Here is an 18,145-nt window from a genome sequence, read left to right on the forward strand (position 1 = left end):
ATCACCTGAGACCGGGAGTTTGAGATCAGACTGGCCAAAACAGTGAAACACCGTCTCCACCAAAAACACAAAAATTAGGTAGGCGTGGTGGCGCATGCCTGTAATCCCAGCTACTTGGAAGGCTGAGGCAGGAGAGTCACTTGAACCCGGGAGGCGGAAACTGCAGCAAGCCGAGATCACGTCACTGCACTCCAGCCTGGGTGACAGAGCAAGATTCTGTCTCAAAATAATAAATAAATAAATAATCCAGGAAAGAGATTATGGCTTGAACCAGCATGGCAACACTGGAGGACATATAAAGTGGTCAGACTTGGAATATATTTTGAAAGTGGAGCCAACAGAATTTGCTAATGCACTGGATGTGAGGAGTCAACAACAACCTAAGGTTTTTTTTCCTGAGGAACTGAAAAAAAAAAACGGAGTGGCCATTAACTAAAACTGACGATGGTCTTAATAGCTGACAATGACTGAATCCTAACCATATGCTAACTGTTCAATTAATCTCCTTACATACATGATCACATTTAATCCTCACTACCAATGTGGTGGGTATCATCCCATTTAACAAGTGTAGAAACCTGATGATTATTGGTAAACCTGAGAAGCTGAAACTGAAATTCATAATTAACAGTTTTCTTAAGAGTCTATGTATTTGGCCAAGCAGGGTGGCTCAATTCTGTAATCCCAGCATTTTGGGAGGCTGAGGCAAGTGGATCACCTGAGGTCGGAGTTCGAGACCAGCCTGGCCAACATACAGAAACCCTGTCTCTACTAAAAATACAAAAATTAGCCCAGCGTGGTGGTGTATGTCTGTAATCCCAGCTACTTGGGAGGCTGAGGCAGGAGAACTGCTTGAACCCGGGAGGTGGAGGTTGAGGTTGCGGTGAGCCGAGATCACACCAGTGCACTCCAGCCTGGATGAGAGAGTGAGACTCTGTCTCGAAGAAAAAAAAAAGAGCCTATGTATTTAACCAGTATTCAATATATCAGTACGTATCATTATGTTCACAGGATCTAGTGTTACCCTGGACATAAATAATCAATCAGTATTGAAACACATTTTCTGAACACAGGTTAAGTCAAGTAACCAATTCCAGTGCAGAAGTGTTTGGCCTCTCCAGGTCTCTGCCAATTCCTGGCAGATGACTGAGAAACAAATCTTTAAAGTCAGGAAATTACTTGTCTTTTCAATTCAGAATCACAATTTCAGAGACTGAAGGGAGTGTAGTTTTTAACCCATTCCCCTCAGTAGAGTAGCAACCAGAATGGGATGCCCACAAAAGATACTGGCAACTAATTTTATATAGTTATCTAAATACAAGATCTTAATAGAAGACTTAATACAAGACCCTGAAATCGTCTGCTGAACTGAAGAGGATTACATTGTCACTTCCACCACACATTTCCCCTGAGCCTCTCATTCTCATTCCCAAGTTCCCAACCTTCTCTCAGGTCCTATTTTTCCTACTCCATGCCTACCCTCACTCACTCCAACACCTTCAGTCCAGCTATATATTACTTGCTGCCTTAACTAAATTTACTAGCGAGCTTCCCCGACTTCTTCAACCTTCTGTGAATGCTGAAACCCCTCCACCTAGGCCTCTTTCAGCAGCTGGGGTGGGGAGGTGGATGGGAGGGGAGTAACTGCTCAGCTTTAACTCTGCCCTGCAAAAACCGTCACTGCACTTCAGACCTAGAAGCAGCACTTCTTTCAAGAGGACCCTCCTTCCTTCCAAACTTCCCCTATAGACACTGCTTGTAACTGCAGCATGACGGCATAGAAAGGGAACGATTTAGGAGGCAGGCAATCTGAGTTCCAATTTTAGATCTACCCCTTACTGTTTACCTTTTTGAATCCGTTTCTTCATCTGTCAAAGAGATAGCACAACTACGCATTCTCAAAGGGTTATGACGAGGCTTGGAAGCGGGGGGCGTACATGAAATGTTGGTCTTCATCCCTCCACATTATGCAACCTGGTATTATTCACTGCGCTGTTATTACGGAACTCCTCTGGATCGTTAATGGAGGTCAGAGAACCTGAATTACAACCTGTCTGTCCCTGTGCCCCCTCCCCCCCAACGTTTATGGCGCAGACAGAAAGCAGTCAGGGGATGCGTGTTGCCTCCAGGTTGATGCGAACCTAGGGCAGGAGCCTGGGCGATCGATCGGCCAGGGAGTGGGGGGTCGTGCGGGCGGCCGAACAGCCGCGGCTTGGCCCCAGACCGCACTCCGCTGTGGCGGGCTTCGATTTCCTCTTGCGTAAAAGTAGGTGGTGACCAAATGCTTAGTCCTCTCCCGGCCAGCCTCAGCTCAGCGATCCGACCCGCACCTCCGATCCCGAGAGCTTCCATTTTACTCGTCCTCGACCACACTTCTCCCCCGACAACTGTCACCCTGACCGGCGCCGCCCACCCCCAGGCCCCTCCGAGCGCCGGGCTGCCGGCAGTCCCCCCGGGAACCGCCCTGGGAGCCCGCCTCAGGCCCGTACTCACGCCCGCTTTGGCTGTGGTCGCCGCGGGTTTCTTCTGCGCCGCGCCGGCCGAGCGGAGCCGCCTCCGGCCGATGTGCTCCAGACTGAGGAAGTCACTGGACAGGTCCAAGGAGCCCGTGGCCGAGGCCGCGGAGTGGTTGTGCAGCTCCAAGCTGCTGCGGAGAACCACCATCTTCTCTCCCTACTGGCCTCGGCGTGCGCGACCGGAGAGAGATCCAGCTCCAGGCGCTCGCAGCTCTGGCTCTTCCGCGCTCCGAATTCTGGCGCCACAAGCTCCGCGCCAGCGGCCGCAGCGCGCGCGCCCAGAATCCCTCCGCCGTCTGTCCCGCCCACGCCACCACCGTAGAACAGCAGGCTCGAAACTCTCCTCCCATTTGTAGAGCGAAGGAGGCCGGGCCAACGTGGAGAGGAACACAGGCCGACAGTATAGAGGACCTGAGCGGAGAGTCCTGGGGAAAACGCTGACTTCTTTTTCTTCACATAGTTCCGGCTCGCTGAGCTCGGCGGAAGGAGACGGTGGGAGCGGTGCGTAGCCCGTTTGGAATTTTGGCGCGGGACGGCGGCGGGGGAAGGGAGGCCTCTGCGCGCTCTGATTGGCTGGTGGGGTCCGGCGTCTCCTCCCCACCCCTGTTGACACCTGCTTGCTGCTTCCCGCCATCCAGGATTCAAATGCAAAATGCCCAGTCCTTGACTGGAGGGAAATAAAGCACTTGGCCTTTGACAGGTTTTGACTTTGAGCCTTAAGAACTTTTTTTTTTTTTAAATAATTGAGGGCTTGACGAAAACAAGTTAACCACCAAAAAGAAAGAAAACACAAGGAGCTAAAAGCGAGCCAGCAGAGTGCCATCGTTTAGTTAAGGACGCGGGTTCTGTACCCATCTTTGCCATTGATCATCCCACATAGAAGATCTCGAACAAATTATTCACCTCCCTGCATTCTAATTTCCTCACACGCTGAGGCAGGAGAATCGCTTGAAGCCGGGAGGCACAGGTTGCAGTGAGCCAAGATCGTGCCACTGCACTCCAGCCTGGGCAACAGAGCAAGACTCTGTCTCAAAAAAAAAAAAAAAAAAAAAAAAGAACCTGTTTCAAAAAAAAGAGCAGGACTCCCAGTTAAATGTGAAGTTCAGATAAAGAACAAATACTTTTTATACGTATCTCGGAATGTACATATAATCGGAAAGTAACTCCGATTGTAATACCTAAGGCCCTAAAGTACTATTATGATACCTTGGAGCCGTGCTTGCACATAATAAGTGCTCAATAAGCGTTCGCTATTATCACAGAATACAAGAAGATGGCTTCTCTAAGATGGCAGTTACTTGACTACTTTGAAATAGGTAACACGCTGAATGATCAGAATGTCCGAGGGCTCTTAGCGAAATAAACGAAAGCTATTTATTGATTTGGATAACTACAGTTCATTAATTTAATATTTGTTAAATACATATTGAGCCTCTATTATGTACCAGGCATTATTCTAAGCACTGGGGATGCAGCAGTGAATAAAAAGAACAAAAATGCCCTAATGGAACTTAAACTCTAGTGGAAGGTGAAAGACAATAAACTAAATGTAAAAGTTTTAAAGTGGCAAGCATTACAGAGAAATATAAAGTAGGGAAGGGGGAGGGAAGAGTGCAATTTAAAATAGGGTGATTAGGGAAGGTCTGGCTGAGAAGTCTGACAAAGGCCTAAAGGTTAGATGGTTCTGGAAGAAGAGAGAGGCGGGAAGCAGGAAGGGGAGAGTGGCGAGGCCAATGAGAACAGAGCCACTGGGAGCAGGTCCTACGGGACTCTGGGTCTTAGTTTGAAACTTTTGAGGGCTTTTATTATAGCCCCCAAATTCCCATCCAAACCCTGAGATGAAAAGACATCTCAGGGTTTTGAACAGAGGTTTGACTTATTCCGACTTTAAAAATAATCTGCGTGGCTGCTGAATGAAGAATGCAATGTCTGGGGACATATAAAAAGTATTTGTTGTTTATCTGAACTTCGCATTTAACTGGGAGTCCTGCTTTTTTTTTGAGAGAGGTTCTTGTTCTTTTTTTTTTTTTTTTTTTTTTGAGACAGAATCTTGCTCTGTTGCCCAGGCTGGAGTGCAGTGGCATGATCTCAGCTAACTGCAACCTCTGCCTCCCGGGTTCAAGCGATTGTCCTGCCTAAGCCTCCAGAGTAGCTGGTATTACAGGCGTGCACCACCATGCCCAGCTAATTTTTGTATTTTTAGTAGAGATGGGGTCTTACCATGCTGGCCAGGCTGGTCTCGAACTACTGACCTCAGGTGATCCACCTGCCTTGGCCTCCCAAAGTTCTAGGATTACAGGCGTGAGCTACCGTCCCCAGGAAGACAGATTATTGTTCTGTCACCCAGGCTGGAGTGCAGTGGCGCAGCCACGGTTCACTGCAGCTTTGACCTCCAGGGCTCAAGCAATCCTTCCACCTCAGCCTCCCTAGTAGCTGGGACCACAGGTGTGTGCCATCACACCTGGCTAATTTGTTTTTAGAGACGGGGTCTCACTCTGTTGCCCAGGCTGGTCTCAAACTCCTGGCCTCAAGCAATCCTCCCACCACAGCCTCCCAAAGCCTGGGATTACAGGTGTGAGCCACCATGCCCAAACAATTTTTCTGATTTTTCTTGCATGAATATGCTTCACTTTTACAATAGAAAAAAACTTTAAAATAATTGTTTAACCAACATAGGTGAAAAAGAAAGGAACAATATTTAAAGTAGTACAGTTTAAAAAATTTAAAAAGTAGCAGAGTTTACTATTACTTGGTTTTAAAATACTATTTATGGCTGGGCACGGTGGCTCACGCCTGTAATCCCCCCACTTTGGGAGGCCGAGGTGGGCAGATCACGAGGTCAAGAGATTGAGACCATCTTGGTCAACATGGTGAAACCCCGTCTCTACTGAAAATACAAAAAATTAGCTGGGCGTGGTGGTGCACGCCTGTAGCCCCAGCTACTCAGGAGGCTGAGGCAGGGGGATTGCTTGAACCTGGGAGGCAGAGGTTGCAGTGAGCCGAGATGGCACCACTGCACTCCAACCTGGCGACACAGCAAGACTCCGTCTCAAAAAAAAAAAAAACCACACGACTATATACTGTATATACCATCTCATTTGATTTGTTTATTCAGGAAATTTTAATTGAGCCCCCATCTTATTCTAAGCATAGTTAGAGGTGCAGGGAGTAAAGCAGTGAACCAGGAACCCTAGGTTCATGGAGCTTACATTCTAAGAGGTACTCAGTGGATAAACAAGGAAGTAAATAAACAAGGTAACTTCATTATAGCAAGTGGTATAAAGAAAATGAAACAGGGTCATGTGATACAGAGTGGTTGAAGGAAGAGGAGAGAAACATACAGTGGACTTGAAAGGTCAATCTGAGGCCAGGCGGGGCGGCTCACACCTGTAATCCCAGCACTTTGGGAGGCCGAGGTGGGTATCACCTGAGGTCGGGAGTTCTAGAGCAGCCTGACCAACATGGAGAAACCCCATCTCTACCAAAAATACAAAATTAGCTGGGCATGGTGGCGGGCACCTGTAATCCCAGCTACTCAGGAGGCTGAGGCAGAAGAATTTCTTGAACCTGGGAGGCAGAGGTTGCGGTGAGCCGAGATTACGCCATTGCACTCCAGCTTGGGCAACAAGAGCGAAACTCCATCTCAAAAAAAGAAGGAAAGAAAGAAAGGTCTGAGGCCAGGCATGTGTCACACCTGTAATCCCAGCACTTTGGGAGGGCGAGGCAGGCAGATTGCTTGAGGTCAGGAGTTCGAGACTAGCCTGGCCAACATGGCAAAACCTTGTCTCTACTAGAAATACAAAAATTAGCCAGGCATGGTGGCACACACTTGTAATCCCAGCTACTTGGGAGGCTGAGGCAGGAGAACTGCTTGAACCCGTGAGGCAGAGGTTGCAGTGAGCCAAGATCATGCCACTGCACTCCAGCCTTGGCGACAGAGTGGGACTCCAGCTCAAAAATAAATAAATAAAAAAGAAAGATCAGTCTGAGGAGGCGACATTTTAGATGACACGTAAAATATGAGAAGGAATCAGCCGATCAAAAAATTGGCAGGGTTTTCCAGAGAATGGGAAGAACAAGTGCAAAGGCCCTGAGGTAGGAAGTCCAAAATAGTTGAAAATGCTTCCAGAACTTCAAAGATAGAATTCCCCAGGGAGCTTATTAAACACACTACACAAAGCCAGGTGTGGTGGTGCGGGCCTGTAGTACCAGCTACTTGGGAGGCTGAGGTGGGAGGATCGCTTGAGCCCAGCAGTTCCAAACCATTCGGGGGAACATAGTGAGACCCAGTCTCAAAAAAATAGCCTGCCCTGGCAGGCTGGCAGCCGAGCGGGTGTTTATGTTGGGTCGCCGGGTCTCTGGCAGCCTGACAGACTACCTGATGAGCCAGGGCACCGGCTGCGTGCCCGAGGACGGGCTCACCACGCAGCAGCTCTTCGCCAGAGCCGACAGCCTCACCTACAACGAGTTCCTGATTCTCCCAGGATTCATAGACTTCATAGCTGATGAGGCGGACCTCACCTCAGCCCTTACCTGGAAGATCACGCTGAAGACGCCGCTGATCTCCTCCTCCATGGACACTGTGACAGAGGGCAACATGGCCATCACGATGGCTCTGGTGGGAGGTATTGGTTTCATTCACCACAACTGCACCCCAGAGTTCCAGGCCAAGGAGGTGCGGAAGGTCAAGAAGTTTGAACATGGCTTCATCACGGACCCCATGGTGCTGAGCCCCTCGCACCCTGTGGGTGATGTGCTGGAGGCCACGATGCGGCATGGCTTCTCTGGTATCCCCATCACTGAGACAGGCACCATGGGCAGCAAGCCGGTGGGCATCGTCACTTCCCGAGACATCGACTTTCTTGCTGAGAAGGACCACACCACCCTCCTCAGTGAGGTGATGATGCCAAGGATTGAGCTGGTGGTGGCTCCAGCAGGAGTGATGTTGAAAGAGGCAAATGAGATCCTGCAGCAAAGCAAGAAAGTGAAGCTGCCTATCGTCAATGACGATGATGAGCTGGTGGCCATCATTGCCCTCACCGACCTGAAGAACCGAGACTACCCTGTGGCCTCCAAGGATTCCCATGAGCAGCTGCTGTGTGGGGCAGCTGTGGGCACCTGTGAGGATGACAAATACCGCCTGGACCTGCTCACCCAGGCGGGTGTCGACGTCATAGTCTTGGACTTGTCCGAAGGGAACTTGCTGTATCAACTGCCATGGTGTATTACGTCAAACAGAAGTACTCCCACCTCCAGGTGATTGGGGGGAACGTGGTGACAGCAGCCCAGGCCAAGAACCTGATTGATGCTGGTGTGGACGGGCTGTGTGTGGGCATAGGCTGCGGCTCCCTCTGCATCACCCAGGAAGTGATGGCATGTGGTTGCCCCCAGGGCACTGTGTGTACAAGGTGGCTGAGTATGCCCGGCACTTTGGTGTGCCCATCATAGCCGATGGTGGCATCCTGACTGTGGGGCACGTCAAGGTGCCGGCCCTTGGTGCCTCCATAGTGATGATGGGCTCCCTGCTGGCTGCCACCTCGGAGGCCCCCAGCGAATAGTTCTCAGATGGGGTGCGGCTCAAGAAATACTGGGGCACAGGCTTGCTGGATGCCATGGAGAAGAGCAGCAGCAGCCAGGCACGATACTTCAGTGAGGAGGATAAGGTGAAGATCACACAGGGTGTCTCGGGCTCCATCCAGGACAAAGGGTCCATTCAGAAGTTTGTGCCCTACCTCATAGTGGGCATCCAGCATGGCTGCCAGGATATCAGGGCCCGCAGCCTGTCTGTCCTTTGGTCCATGATGTACTCAGGAGAGCTCAAGTTTGAGAAGCGTACCATGTCGGCCCAGATTGAGGGTGGCGTCCATGGCCTGCACTCTTAGGAGAAGCGGCTGTACTGACAGCAGTGGAGGCCGAGGTGGTGGAGGGGGCACCCCCCAGTGTCCACCTTCGGGCATAGCCTCCCTCCATCACTGAGTGGTCCACAGATTTGCACTACGGGTTCCCCAGCTCCTTTCCAGGGAGAGAGGAGGCGAAGTTGTGAGGGGTCTGTGACCCCTCGCTGGGCATCCCCTGCAGAGTCAGGACTGCTCCCTGGGCCAGGCTGCCCTGGGAGGCCCCCAGAGCCCAGCCAGCTGGGCTTTCAGGCCCTACGCCTGCTTCAGGTCTTGCTGCAGCCTGCTGCAGCCTGGCCCCCACCCCAGGGGCAGGCAGCCCCTCCTGGCTTCTCCTGTAGGGCACTTCCCTGCCCCCAGTCCCCCAGGAAATGGTGCTCTCCTGGCCCTGCCTCTGGCCTACTGCCCCCTCAGCCATGTGGCACTTCTGAGCTCCTGACCTAGGCTAAGGGGAGGTCTCTGCCCCCTTCCCCGGCCCTGGGCTACCCTTGGGTCCTGCTCCTCAGGCCACTCCCCTGTCCCTGGCCCTGGGGAGAAGGCTGCTCTGGTCATGGCTGCCTGCCCCTCATTCCTGACTCACCACCGTCCCCAGGTGTACCATTCCTGCCCTCTCCTCAGCTGTAGTTGAAGGCTTTAACTTTGCACACTTTGGGATCATAGTTGCGTCATTGTGTATTAAATAATCAGAATAAATCAAGCAGGTCTCAATGCCAATAATAATAATAATAATAATAATAATAAAAATCAACACACTACACACAGCTTCAGGTGCCTCCTCTAAAGATCCTGATTTCATGCGTCTGAGATAAGGCCTGGAAACTTGGATTTCTTTCAGGAAGTCTCCTGGTGATTCTTATCCACAGAGTGATTTGTGTCGCGCTGTTCTGGAATGTGACGAGGAAAGAGTTGATTGCTAGAGAAGTAGCTACTGAGAATAGAAGGGTATGCATGGGCAAGATGGCGCGCTTCAAGAGCACAATAGAGAGGGGTTTTGTTGTTGTTTTGAGAAAGGGTCTCACTCTGTCACCCAGGCTGGAGTGCAGTGGTGGGATTTTAGCTCACTGCAACCTCCACCTCCCAGGCTCAAGAGATTCTCCCACCTCAACCTCCAAGTAGCTGGGAGTAGCTGGGACTACAGGGGTACACCTCTGCTCCCAGCTAATTTTTTGTATTTTTCGTGGAGACGGGGTTTTGCCATGTTGCCCAGGCTGGTCTCGAACTCCTGAGCTCAGGTGATCTGCCCACTTAGGCCTCCCAAAGTGGTGGGATTACAGGCGTGAGCCACTGCGCCCAGCCAGGAGGGTTTTTTTTTTTTTTTAAACATTTATTGATTTATTTTAGAGACAGGGTCTCCCTATGTTGCCCAGGCTGCAGTGCAGTGGCTATTCACAGGCGCAATCACAGCTTGCTACAACCTCGAACTCCTGGATTCAACCAATCCTCCCACCTCAGCCTCCTGAGTAGCTGGGACTACAGGCATGCACCACCACGCCAGGATGGGAGTTTGGTTTTGATCCATTTGCAAAGAGCAGCTGTGAAAGGACAGCAAAGGAAAGAAGTCACATGATTGGCTCTTTGGTGAGAATGATTGGAAGTAGCAAGAACAGATGTAGAATGAAAAACTAGGAGGTTACTGCACTGTCCTGGTGAGAGAAGATGGCGGCCTGGACTAGTGGCAGTGAGCAGATGCGAAATGGACATAGATGGGGGATCTATTTCAGATCACAGCCTACAGAAGATCCTGTCTGCCTTCAACAGAAGGACTTTGTCTAGGTGTGCTGTTGACATAAAGTGACCTTGTGAGGCCATCCACAGGAAGCCACACCAGCAGGAGGGGAGGCTATTTTAGCTGGTCAGAGCTGAGCAGACTAAAAAGGCAACATGCTTTACAGTGATTATTTTAGACACCTGCTACAATCAGAGGTAACTCTCTTCTCTGGGCTAAACCAATTAGGAGTTATTAACTTTTCTACTTACATTGTATTTATTTTTCAAGATGTAGTATATTCATATGGTTAAATTTTAAGTTACAAAGGAGCATATGGATTAAAAGTCTCCTTCATATGCCCGTTTCCTAGCCATCTTGTCACCCTTCCCATCAGCAACCAAAGTTATTCATTTCTTGGGTATCCTTCCAGAGTTATCTATATCAGGTATGTTCATTTCCTGAGGCTGCTGCAACAACTTACCAAAAACTTGGTGGCTTAAAACAACAGAAATTTATTCTCTGATGGTTAAGGAGGCAAGAAATCCAAAATCAAGGTGTTGGCCATGTTGCTTCCTTCTGGGGGCTCTGAGTGAGAATCTATTCCATGCCTGTCTCCCAGCTGCTGGTGTCTGCTGACAACCTTCGGAGTTTCTTGGCTTGTAGGAGTGTAAGTCCACACTCTGCTTTCACATCATATGTCCTTCTTTCCTGTCTTTTTGTGCTTGTACTCAAGTCTCTCCCCACTTTCTCTCTCTTTTTTTTTTTTTTCTTTTGAGATGGAGTCTCGCTCTGTCGCCCAGGCTGGAGTGCAGTGGCGCGATCTTGGCTCACTGCAACCTCTGCCTCCCGGGTTCAAGTGATTCTCCTGCCTCAGCCTCCAGAGTAGCTGGGATTACAGGCGCCCGCCACCACGCCTGGCTAATTTTTGTATTTTTGGCCAGGCTGGTCTTGAACTCCTGACCTCATGATCCACCCACCTCGGCCTCCCAAAGTGCTGGGATTACAGGCGTGAGCCACCGCGCCCAGCCCCCCCTTTCTCTCATAAGGACGTCAGTCATTGAACTATTTAGAGCACACCCTGAATCCAGAATGATCTCATTTTGAGATCTCAGTTATATCTGCAAAGACCCTGTTTCCAAATCAGATCACATTCACACATAAGAGGGGGGTTGGGACTTGAATATCTTTTTGGAGCCACTATTTAACCCACTACCCTAGGGGCTGGCAAACTTTTTCTGTAAATGGCCAGAGAGTAAATATTCTAGGTTTTGTGGATGGTATGATATTTGTAGCAATTACTCAATCCCATGGTAGTGAAAAAGTGGCCACATACAATATAGACACAAATGGGCATGATTGTGTTTCAATAACACTTTATTTACAAAAACAGATCTCAGGCTGTATTTGTCCCAAGGAGGTCATAGTTTTCTTTTTCATTTTCTTTCTTTCTTTTTTTTTTTTTGAGACGCAGTTTTGCTCTTGTTGCCCAGGCTGGAGTGCAATGGTGCGACCTCAGCTCACTGCAACCTCTGCTTCCCAGGCTCAAGTGATTCTTCTGCCTCAGCCTCCCGAGTAGCTGGGATTACAGGCAAGCACCATGAAGCCTGGCTTTTTTTTTTTCTTTGTATTTTTAGTAGAGATGGGGTTTCACCATATCGGCCAAGCTAGTCTCCAACTCCTGAGCTCAGATGATCTGCCCACCTCGGCCTTCCGAAGTGCTGGGATTACAGACATGAACCACCACACCTGGCTAGTTTTCTAACCTCTGATTTATACTATACAAGTAAGTATGAGCATGTGTTTGCATGGGTATTAATTTTCACCCTGTTTACACAAATGTAGCATACTGTACACTCTGTTCTGTACTGTGCTTCTTTATCTAGGTCTTAGTGATCTTTCCCTGTGAGTACATAAAGAACTTCCTCTCTTTGTTCAGCAACATCATAGTCCACTCTGTGGACACACCGTATTTTATTTAAGTAGACCTTTCTTGCTGAACATTTGTTTCCATTCTCTTGCTATTGCATAACTGCTATGAATAAATAGGTTCAAATATCACTTCTACATTGTATCTGTAGAATAAATTTCTAGAAGTGCAATGGCTAGGTCAAAAACTATGTACAACAACTAGATGCAATAATATGAATAAATCTTACAAACAGAATATTAAGCAAAAGAAGCCTGAATAATTCCTTTTATATTAAGCAGAAACACAGACAAAACTAACTTTTGCTGTTAGAAGTCAGAATATTGATATTCTTGGGGTTATAAAACATGAAGGCAGCCTGGGCATAGTGGCTTATGCCTATAATCCCAGCACTTTGGAAGGCCGAGGCAGGCGGATCACTTGACACCAGGAGTTCGAGACTAGCCTGGCCAACATAGTGAAACTGTGTCTCTACTAAAAATACAAAAATTAGTTGGGTGTGGTGGCACATGCCTATAATCCCAGCTACTTGGGAGGCTGAGACAGGAGAATTGTTTGAAACTGGGAGGCAGAGGTTGCAGTGAGCCCAGAAGATCACACCACTGCACTCCAGCCTGGGGGACAGAGCGGGACACTGTCTCACCAAAAAAAAAAAAAAAAAATAGTTTTAATAAAATTAAAAAAAAAACTAAGCAAAGAAATCAAAATTCCAGAACACTAACAGATGGCCAGCCAAAAGCTTTTCTCTATTCCTTTATTCTCTCTTTATAATATTAAACATTAAGGAATTACCACACTGGAGCCGGGTGTGGTGGCTTTAGCCCTCCCAACATTTTGGGAGGCCAAGGCAGGAGGATCCTTTGAGGCCAGAGATTCAAGACCAGCCTGGGCAACATGGTGAAGCCCCATCTCTACCCAAAATACAGAAATTAGCCGGGCGTTGTGGTGCACGCCAGTACTCTTGGCTGCTTGGGAGACTGAGTCAGGAGGATCACTTGAGCCTGGGAGGTGGAGGCTGCAGTGAGCCGAGATCTCGCCACTGCACTTTAGCCTGGGTGATAGAGTGAGACCCTGTCTCAAAAAAAAAAAAAAAAAAAATTACCACACTGGCTTTAGCTTTTGGTTGGATTAGTGAGTTGAACTGTGCCCCCATAAAGGATATAAACCTCCCCTTGTGAATGTGATCTGATTTGGAAATAGGATCTTTGCAGATGTAATTAAAATCTCGACATGAGATTATTCTCGTTTATGGTGAACCCTAAATCCAATGACTAGTGTTCTTATAAGGGAAAGCATAGAGAGATTGGTGCATACAGACACAGAGAAGGCAGTGATGTGAAGACAGGCAGAGATTGCAGTGATGTGTTTATAAGCCAAGAAATGCCAAGGTTTGCCAGCAACCACTGCAAGCCAGGAGAGAAGCATGGAACAGATTCTTCCTCCAAATCTCCAGAAAGAATCAACCTGGCTGACGCTTTGATTTCAGACTTCCAGACTCTTGAACTGTGAGAGAATACATTCCTGGTTTTTAAAGGTTACCAAGTTTGTGGTAATTTGTTACATATAGCACCCCTGGGAAATGTATATAGTACAGTTGGTCTGGGATTGGTCTTCTCTTGGTGACCAGTTCTATCTTTTCTAATCTTAACTATTCTAGTTAGGAGTGACTTGATTTAGGAAAAAAATAATAATAAGGCAGTAGAGGCTGGGTGTGGTGGCTCACACCTGCAATCCCAGCACTTCGGGAGGCTGAGGCAGGTGGATCATCTGAGGTCAGGAGTTCAAGTCCAGCTGGGCCAACATGGTAAAACCCCATCTCTACTAAAAATACAAAAATTAGCTGGGTGTGGTGGCGGGCGCCTGTAGTCCCAGCACTTTGGGAGGCTGAGGCAGGTGGATCACTTGAGATCAAGAGTTCAACCTGGCCAACATGGCAAAACTCCATCTCTACTAAAAATACAAAAATTAGCTGGGTGTGGTGGCACACGACTGTAATCCCAGCTACTCGGGAGGCTGAGGCAGAAGAATTGCTTGAACCTAGGAGGCGGAGGTTGCAGTGAGCCAAGATTGCGTCACTGCACTCCAGCTTGGGTGACGGAGTGAGACTCCGTCTCAAAAAAAAAAAAAAGAAACGGAGGTTCTTGTTGGTAACCCCTAATTGCTTCAGAAAGACTCAAGTGTTCTTACTTCATGTGCTACAGAAACGAGGCTCAGGTAAGAGCTAATCATGATTCCACTACCTCATTTGGGATGAGGTCATAGGTGGGTCCCTTTCTGTTCTTTGGTAGCAAAATTAGAAAGTAAACATTAATTTGGACTGGGATTTCTTTTAGGAATGTTGCAAATGTGAGCTTACTTAAATTGTATACCAAATCTTATTGATTTCCCACAAAAGAAGAAAAAAAATTAATTGAATGGAGGTGGGGAGACATTTTGACATTTGCCATATATTAGCTATTCTATTCCATGTTTTAACTATATCCCAGATTCCCCTTCTGTCTGGGAGATTTTTCTCTTTGGGTGGGTTTGGTTTAGGCAGGGCCCAGCCTCCTTCTGTGGAAATCCTACAGGGAAATACACTTCATTTCCCTGGAAACCTGGCAATAAGGATTCAGGCATGTGACCTTGGACCAGCCAATGGGCTGCTCCTATCTGAGGCATTTATTTCCTCTGGGAGGAATGACCCAAAGATGCGGGGCAGAGATTATTCATGGTGGCAGAGCAAAGGATACAGAGCCATGGCATTAATGGTGGTCTCCCCTCCCGTCCCCTCCCCTCCCTTTCCTTTCCTTTTTGAGGCAGAGTTTCACTCTTGTCGCCCAGGCTGGAGTGCAATGGCACGTTCTCGGCTCACTGAACCCTCCGCCTCTGGGGTTCAAGCTATTCTCCTGCCTCAGCCTCCCAAGTAGCTGAGATTACAGGCGCCTGCCACCATGCCCGGCTACTTTTTGTATTTTTAGTAGAGACAGGGTTTCACCATGTTGGCCAGGCTGGTCTCAAACTCCTGACCTCAGGTGATTCACTCGCCTCGGCCTCCCAAAGTGTTGGGATTACAGGCGTGAGCCACCGTGCCCGGCCTGGAAGATATATTCTTTTTTTTTTTTTTTGAGACGGAGTCTCGCTCTATCACCCAGGCTGTAGTGCAGTGGCGCCATCTCAGCTCACTGCAACCTCCGCCTCCCAAGTTCAAGCGATTCTCGTGGCTCAGCCTCCTCAGTAGCTGGGACTACAGGCGCGTGCCACCACGCCTAGCTAATTGTTGTATTTTTAGTAGAGACGGGGTTTTGCTGTGTTGGCCAGACTCATCTAACTCCTGACCTCAGGTGATCCACTCGCCTCTGCCCCTCAAAGTGCTGGGGTTACAGGTATGAGCCACGGCCCCGGCTGATATATTCTTATAATGTGGTTTTCAGGCCTTACCTCTCTATTGACCTCTCCCGAACATACATAGTTTAATTTCTCAGTTTTCCCATGTAAGGTATGGTACACAGCAGTGAGTCTAATACCACAAGTATGGACCTGCTTCCCACCCCAATATAATTCAGATGGGTCTCATATTGTGTTTCAACCCAGCCAACTTCCCACCCCCAGTGATAAGGACTCTACCCTCTGAGTTCACATAGTACATTGCTGCCATAGCACAAATTGCTTTGTATTGAAATGATCGCTTTAACTTGGGAAAATAGCATAATGCAAATCAGATAAATGCAAATTAGAATAACAGTGGGAATGTCAGGGTTTTGATTTTGTTTTGCCAATTTGTTTTTCTTTTGAGACAGGGTCTCACTCTGTCACACAGGCTGGAGTGCCGTGGCTGAATCATACCTCACTACAGCTTTGATCGCCTGGGCTCAGGTGATCCTTCTGCCTCAGTCTCCCAAAGTGCTGGGATTACAAGCTTGAGCTACTACACCCATTCTAGTTTTCGTTTTTAAATAATAATCCTTGGCTGGGCACAGGGGCTCGCGTCTGTAATCCCAGCACTTTGGGAGGCTGAGGCAGGTGGATCACCTGGGGTTGGTTTAGTTTTGTACTAAAAATACAAAAATTAGCCGGGTGTCGTGGCACACATCTGTAGTCCCAGCTACTCGGGAGGCTGAGGCAGGAGAACTGCTTGAACCTGGGAGGTGGAGGTTGCAGTGAGCCGAGATTGCACCACTAGACTCCAGCCTGGGTGTGACAAGAGTGAGACTCCATCTCGGAAAAAAAAAAAAAAAAAGCATTAAAAGCACATCCTTCCAATAAAAAAAGCTTTAAAAAAAACCTTTTGTTATTAAAGCTCAATATACTGTGTGCTGTGGATTCCCTGGATCTCCTTTTACATGTCTGTGGCCTTTCTTATAATTTCCTCTGTTATTGATCTCTCTTCTAAACACCTGCCCATTAATATCTTAATTTCACTGGACACAGGTTTCTTTGAGTAGCATTTCGTATTTCTTCCTTAACCAGATCATTGGAGTTTGTAGGTCAGAATCTGGTTCTAACCATCTCCTACTCTTCTGAAACCATATCCGTTTTTATAGTTTCTATTGTAGGATCATATTATTTATTTATTTATTTATTTATTAGCAGAATTTTGCTCTTGTTGCCCAGGCTGGAGTGCAATGGTGTACTCTCAGCTCACGGCAACCTCCACCTCCCAGGTTCAAGCGATTCTCCTGCCTCAGCCTCCCGAGTAGCTGGGATTACGGGCATGCGCCATCACACCTGGCTAATTTTGTATTTTTAGTAGAGACAGGGGTTTCTCCATGTTGGTCAGGCTGGTCTCACACTCCTGACGTCAAGTGATCCACCCGCCTTGGCCTCCCAAAGTGTGGGATTACAGGTGTGAGCCACCATGCCCAGCCTATATGTTTTTTATGATCTATTTTTTTCAATCTAAAAAGTAATTCCTGGGCAACCCCCTTTGGGTCCCCTCCCTTTGCATGGGAGCTCTGTTTTCACTCTATTTCACTCTATTAAATCTTGCTACTGCACTCTTCTGGACCATGCTTGTTACGGCTCAAGCTGAGCTTTCGCTCGCCGTCCACCACTGCTGTTTGCTGCCGTGGCAGACCCGCCACTGACTTCTATCCCTCCAGATCCGGCAGGGTGTCCGCTGTGCTCCTGATCCAGCGAGGCGCCCATTGCCGCTCTGGATCGGGCTAAAGGCTTGCCATTGTTCCTGCATGGCTAAGTGCCCGGGTTCATCCTAATCGAGCTGAACACTAGTCACTGGGTTCCACGGTTCTCTTCCGTGACCCACGGCTTCTAATGGAGCTATAACACTCACCGCATGGCCCAAGATTCCATTCCTTGGAATCCATGAGGCCAAGAACCCCAGGTCAGAGAACAGGAGGCTTGCCACCATCTTGGAAGCGGCTTGCCACCATCTTGGAAACTTTGTGAACAAGGACCCCTGGTAACATTTTGGAGACCCTGAAGGGACCTCCAAAGCGTTTGTCTCTTCCAGAATCAAAGCTGCAAAACTACAAATCATTCTTCAAATGCAGCCCCAGATGCAGTCTATGACTAAGATCTACCGCGGACCCCTGGACTGGCCTGCTAGCCCATGCTCCGATGTTAATGACATCGAAGGCACCCCTCCCCAGGAAATTTCAACTGCACAACCCCTACTACGCCCCAATTCAGCAAGAAGCAGTTAGAGCAGTCGTCGGCGAACCTCCCCAACAGCACTTGGGTTTTCCTGATGAGAGGGCGGACTGAGAGACAGGACTAGCTGGATTTCCTAGGCCGACTAAGAATCCGTAAGCCTAGCTGGGAAGGTGACCGCATCCACCTTTAAACACGGGGCTTGCAACTTAGCTCAAACCCAACCAATCAGAGAGCTCACTAAAATGCTAATTAGGAAAAAATAGGAGGTAAAGAAATAGCCAATCTATTGCCTGAGAGCACAGCGGGAGGGACAAGGATCGGGATATAAACCCAGGCATTTGAGCTGGCAACGGCAACCCCCTTTGGGTCCCCTCCCTTTGTATGGGAGCTCTGTTTTCACTCTATTTCAATCTATTAAATCTTGCAACTGCAAAAATAAATAAATAAATAAACAAATAAAAAGTAATTCCTGCTTATAATAGAAAGTTTAGAAACAGAAAAAAAA

General features: G+C 48.3%; 1 protein-coding gene and 1 pseudogene across 6 annotated transcripts in view, besides 7 other annotated features; one reads left to right on the forward strand and one right to left on the reverse strand.

The window, feature by feature from the left end:
* The window catches only part of ATAD2 (ATPase family AAA domain containing 2), a 96,501-nt gene that overhangs the window by 73,844 nt on the left and 4,512 nt on the right, over positions 1–18,145 (reverse strand). For 4 of the 6 annotated variants that reach the window (XM_011516994.4, NM_014109.4, XM_011516995.4 and 1 more), the window contains exon 1: positions 2,494–2,754. The exons of the other annotated variants lie outside the window; for them this stretch is intronic. In XM_011516994.4, the coding sequence (XP_011515296.1) occupies positions 2,494–2,664 (171 nt within the window). In that variant the 5' untranslated portion in view covers positions 2,665–2,754. Of the gene's footprint in view, positions 1–2,493; positions 2,755–18,145 lie in introns of those variants that run through there. 6 annotated transcript variants of the gene reach the window in all.
* Positions 1,701–1,840: an enhancer, noted in NCBI's record as "active region_27872". NCBI's record gives its function as "activates an Ori minimal core promoter by ATAC-STARR-seq in GM12878 lymphoblastoid cells {active_cell/tissue: GM12878}" and the evidence as "EXISTENCE:reporter gene assay evidence [ECO:0000049][PMID:35858748]".
* Positions 2,271–2,450: a silencer, noted in NCBI's record as "silent region_19498". NCBI's record gives its function as "represses an Ori minimal core promoter by ATAC-STARR-seq in GM12878 lymphoblastoid cells {active_cell/tissue: GM12878}" and the evidence as "EXISTENCE:reporter gene assay evidence [ECO:0000049][PMID:35858748]".
* Positions 2,611–2,660: an enhancer, noted in NCBI's record as "active region_27873". NCBI's record gives its function as "activates an Ori minimal core promoter by ATAC-STARR-seq in GM12878 lymphoblastoid cells {active_cell/tissue: GM12878}" and the evidence as "EXISTENCE:reporter gene assay evidence [ECO:0000049][PMID:35858748]".
* Positions 2,711–2,880: an enhancer, noted in NCBI's record as "active region_27874". NCBI's record gives its function as "activates an Ori minimal core promoter by ATAC-STARR-seq in GM12878 lymphoblastoid cells {active_cell/tissue: GM12878}" and the evidence as "EXISTENCE:reporter gene assay evidence [ECO:0000049][PMID:35858748]".
* Positions 2,896–3,190: an enhancer, noted in NCBI's record as "tiled region #2006; HepG2 Activating DNase matched - State 1:Tss, and K562 Activating DNase unmatched - State 1:Tss". NCBI's record gives its function as "activates a minimal TATA promoter and a strong SV40 promoter by Sharpr-MPRA in HepG2 and K562 cells {active_cell/tissue: HepG2 | K562}" and the evidence as "EXISTENCE:reporter gene assay evidence [ECO:0000049][PMID:27701403]".
* IMPDH1P6 (inosine monophosphate dehydrogenase 1 pseudogene 6) lies at positions 6,829–9,122 on the forward strand (annotated as a pseudogene).
* Positions 16,627–17,127: an enhancer, noted in NCBI's record as "H3K4me1 hESC enhancer chr8:124422560-124423060 (GRCh37/hg19 assembly coordinates)". NCBI's record gives its function as "activates a minimal SCP1, AML or CMV promoter by ChIP-STARR-seq in primed H9 embryonic stem cells {active_cell/tissue: H9 hESC(primed)}" and the evidence as "EXISTENCE:reporter gene assay evidence [ECO:0000049][PMID:30033119]".
* Positions 17,128–17,628: an enhancer, noted in NCBI's record as "H3K4me1 hESC enhancer chr8:124423061-124423561 (GRCh37/hg19 assembly coordinates)". NCBI's record gives its function as "activates a minimal SCP1, AML or CMV promoter by ChIP-STARR-seq in primed H9 embryonic stem cells {active_cell/tissue: H9 hESC(primed)}" and the evidence as "EXISTENCE:reporter gene assay evidence [ECO:0000049][PMID:30033119]".

The sequence above is a fragment of the Homo sapiens genome, chromosome 8 (genome assembly GCF_000001405.40).
Source record: "Homo sapiens chromosome 8, GRCh38.p14 Primary Assembly".
Taxonomy (NCBI): domain Eukaryota; kingdom Metazoa; phylum Chordata; class Mammalia; order Primates; family Hominidae; genus Homo; species Homo sapiens.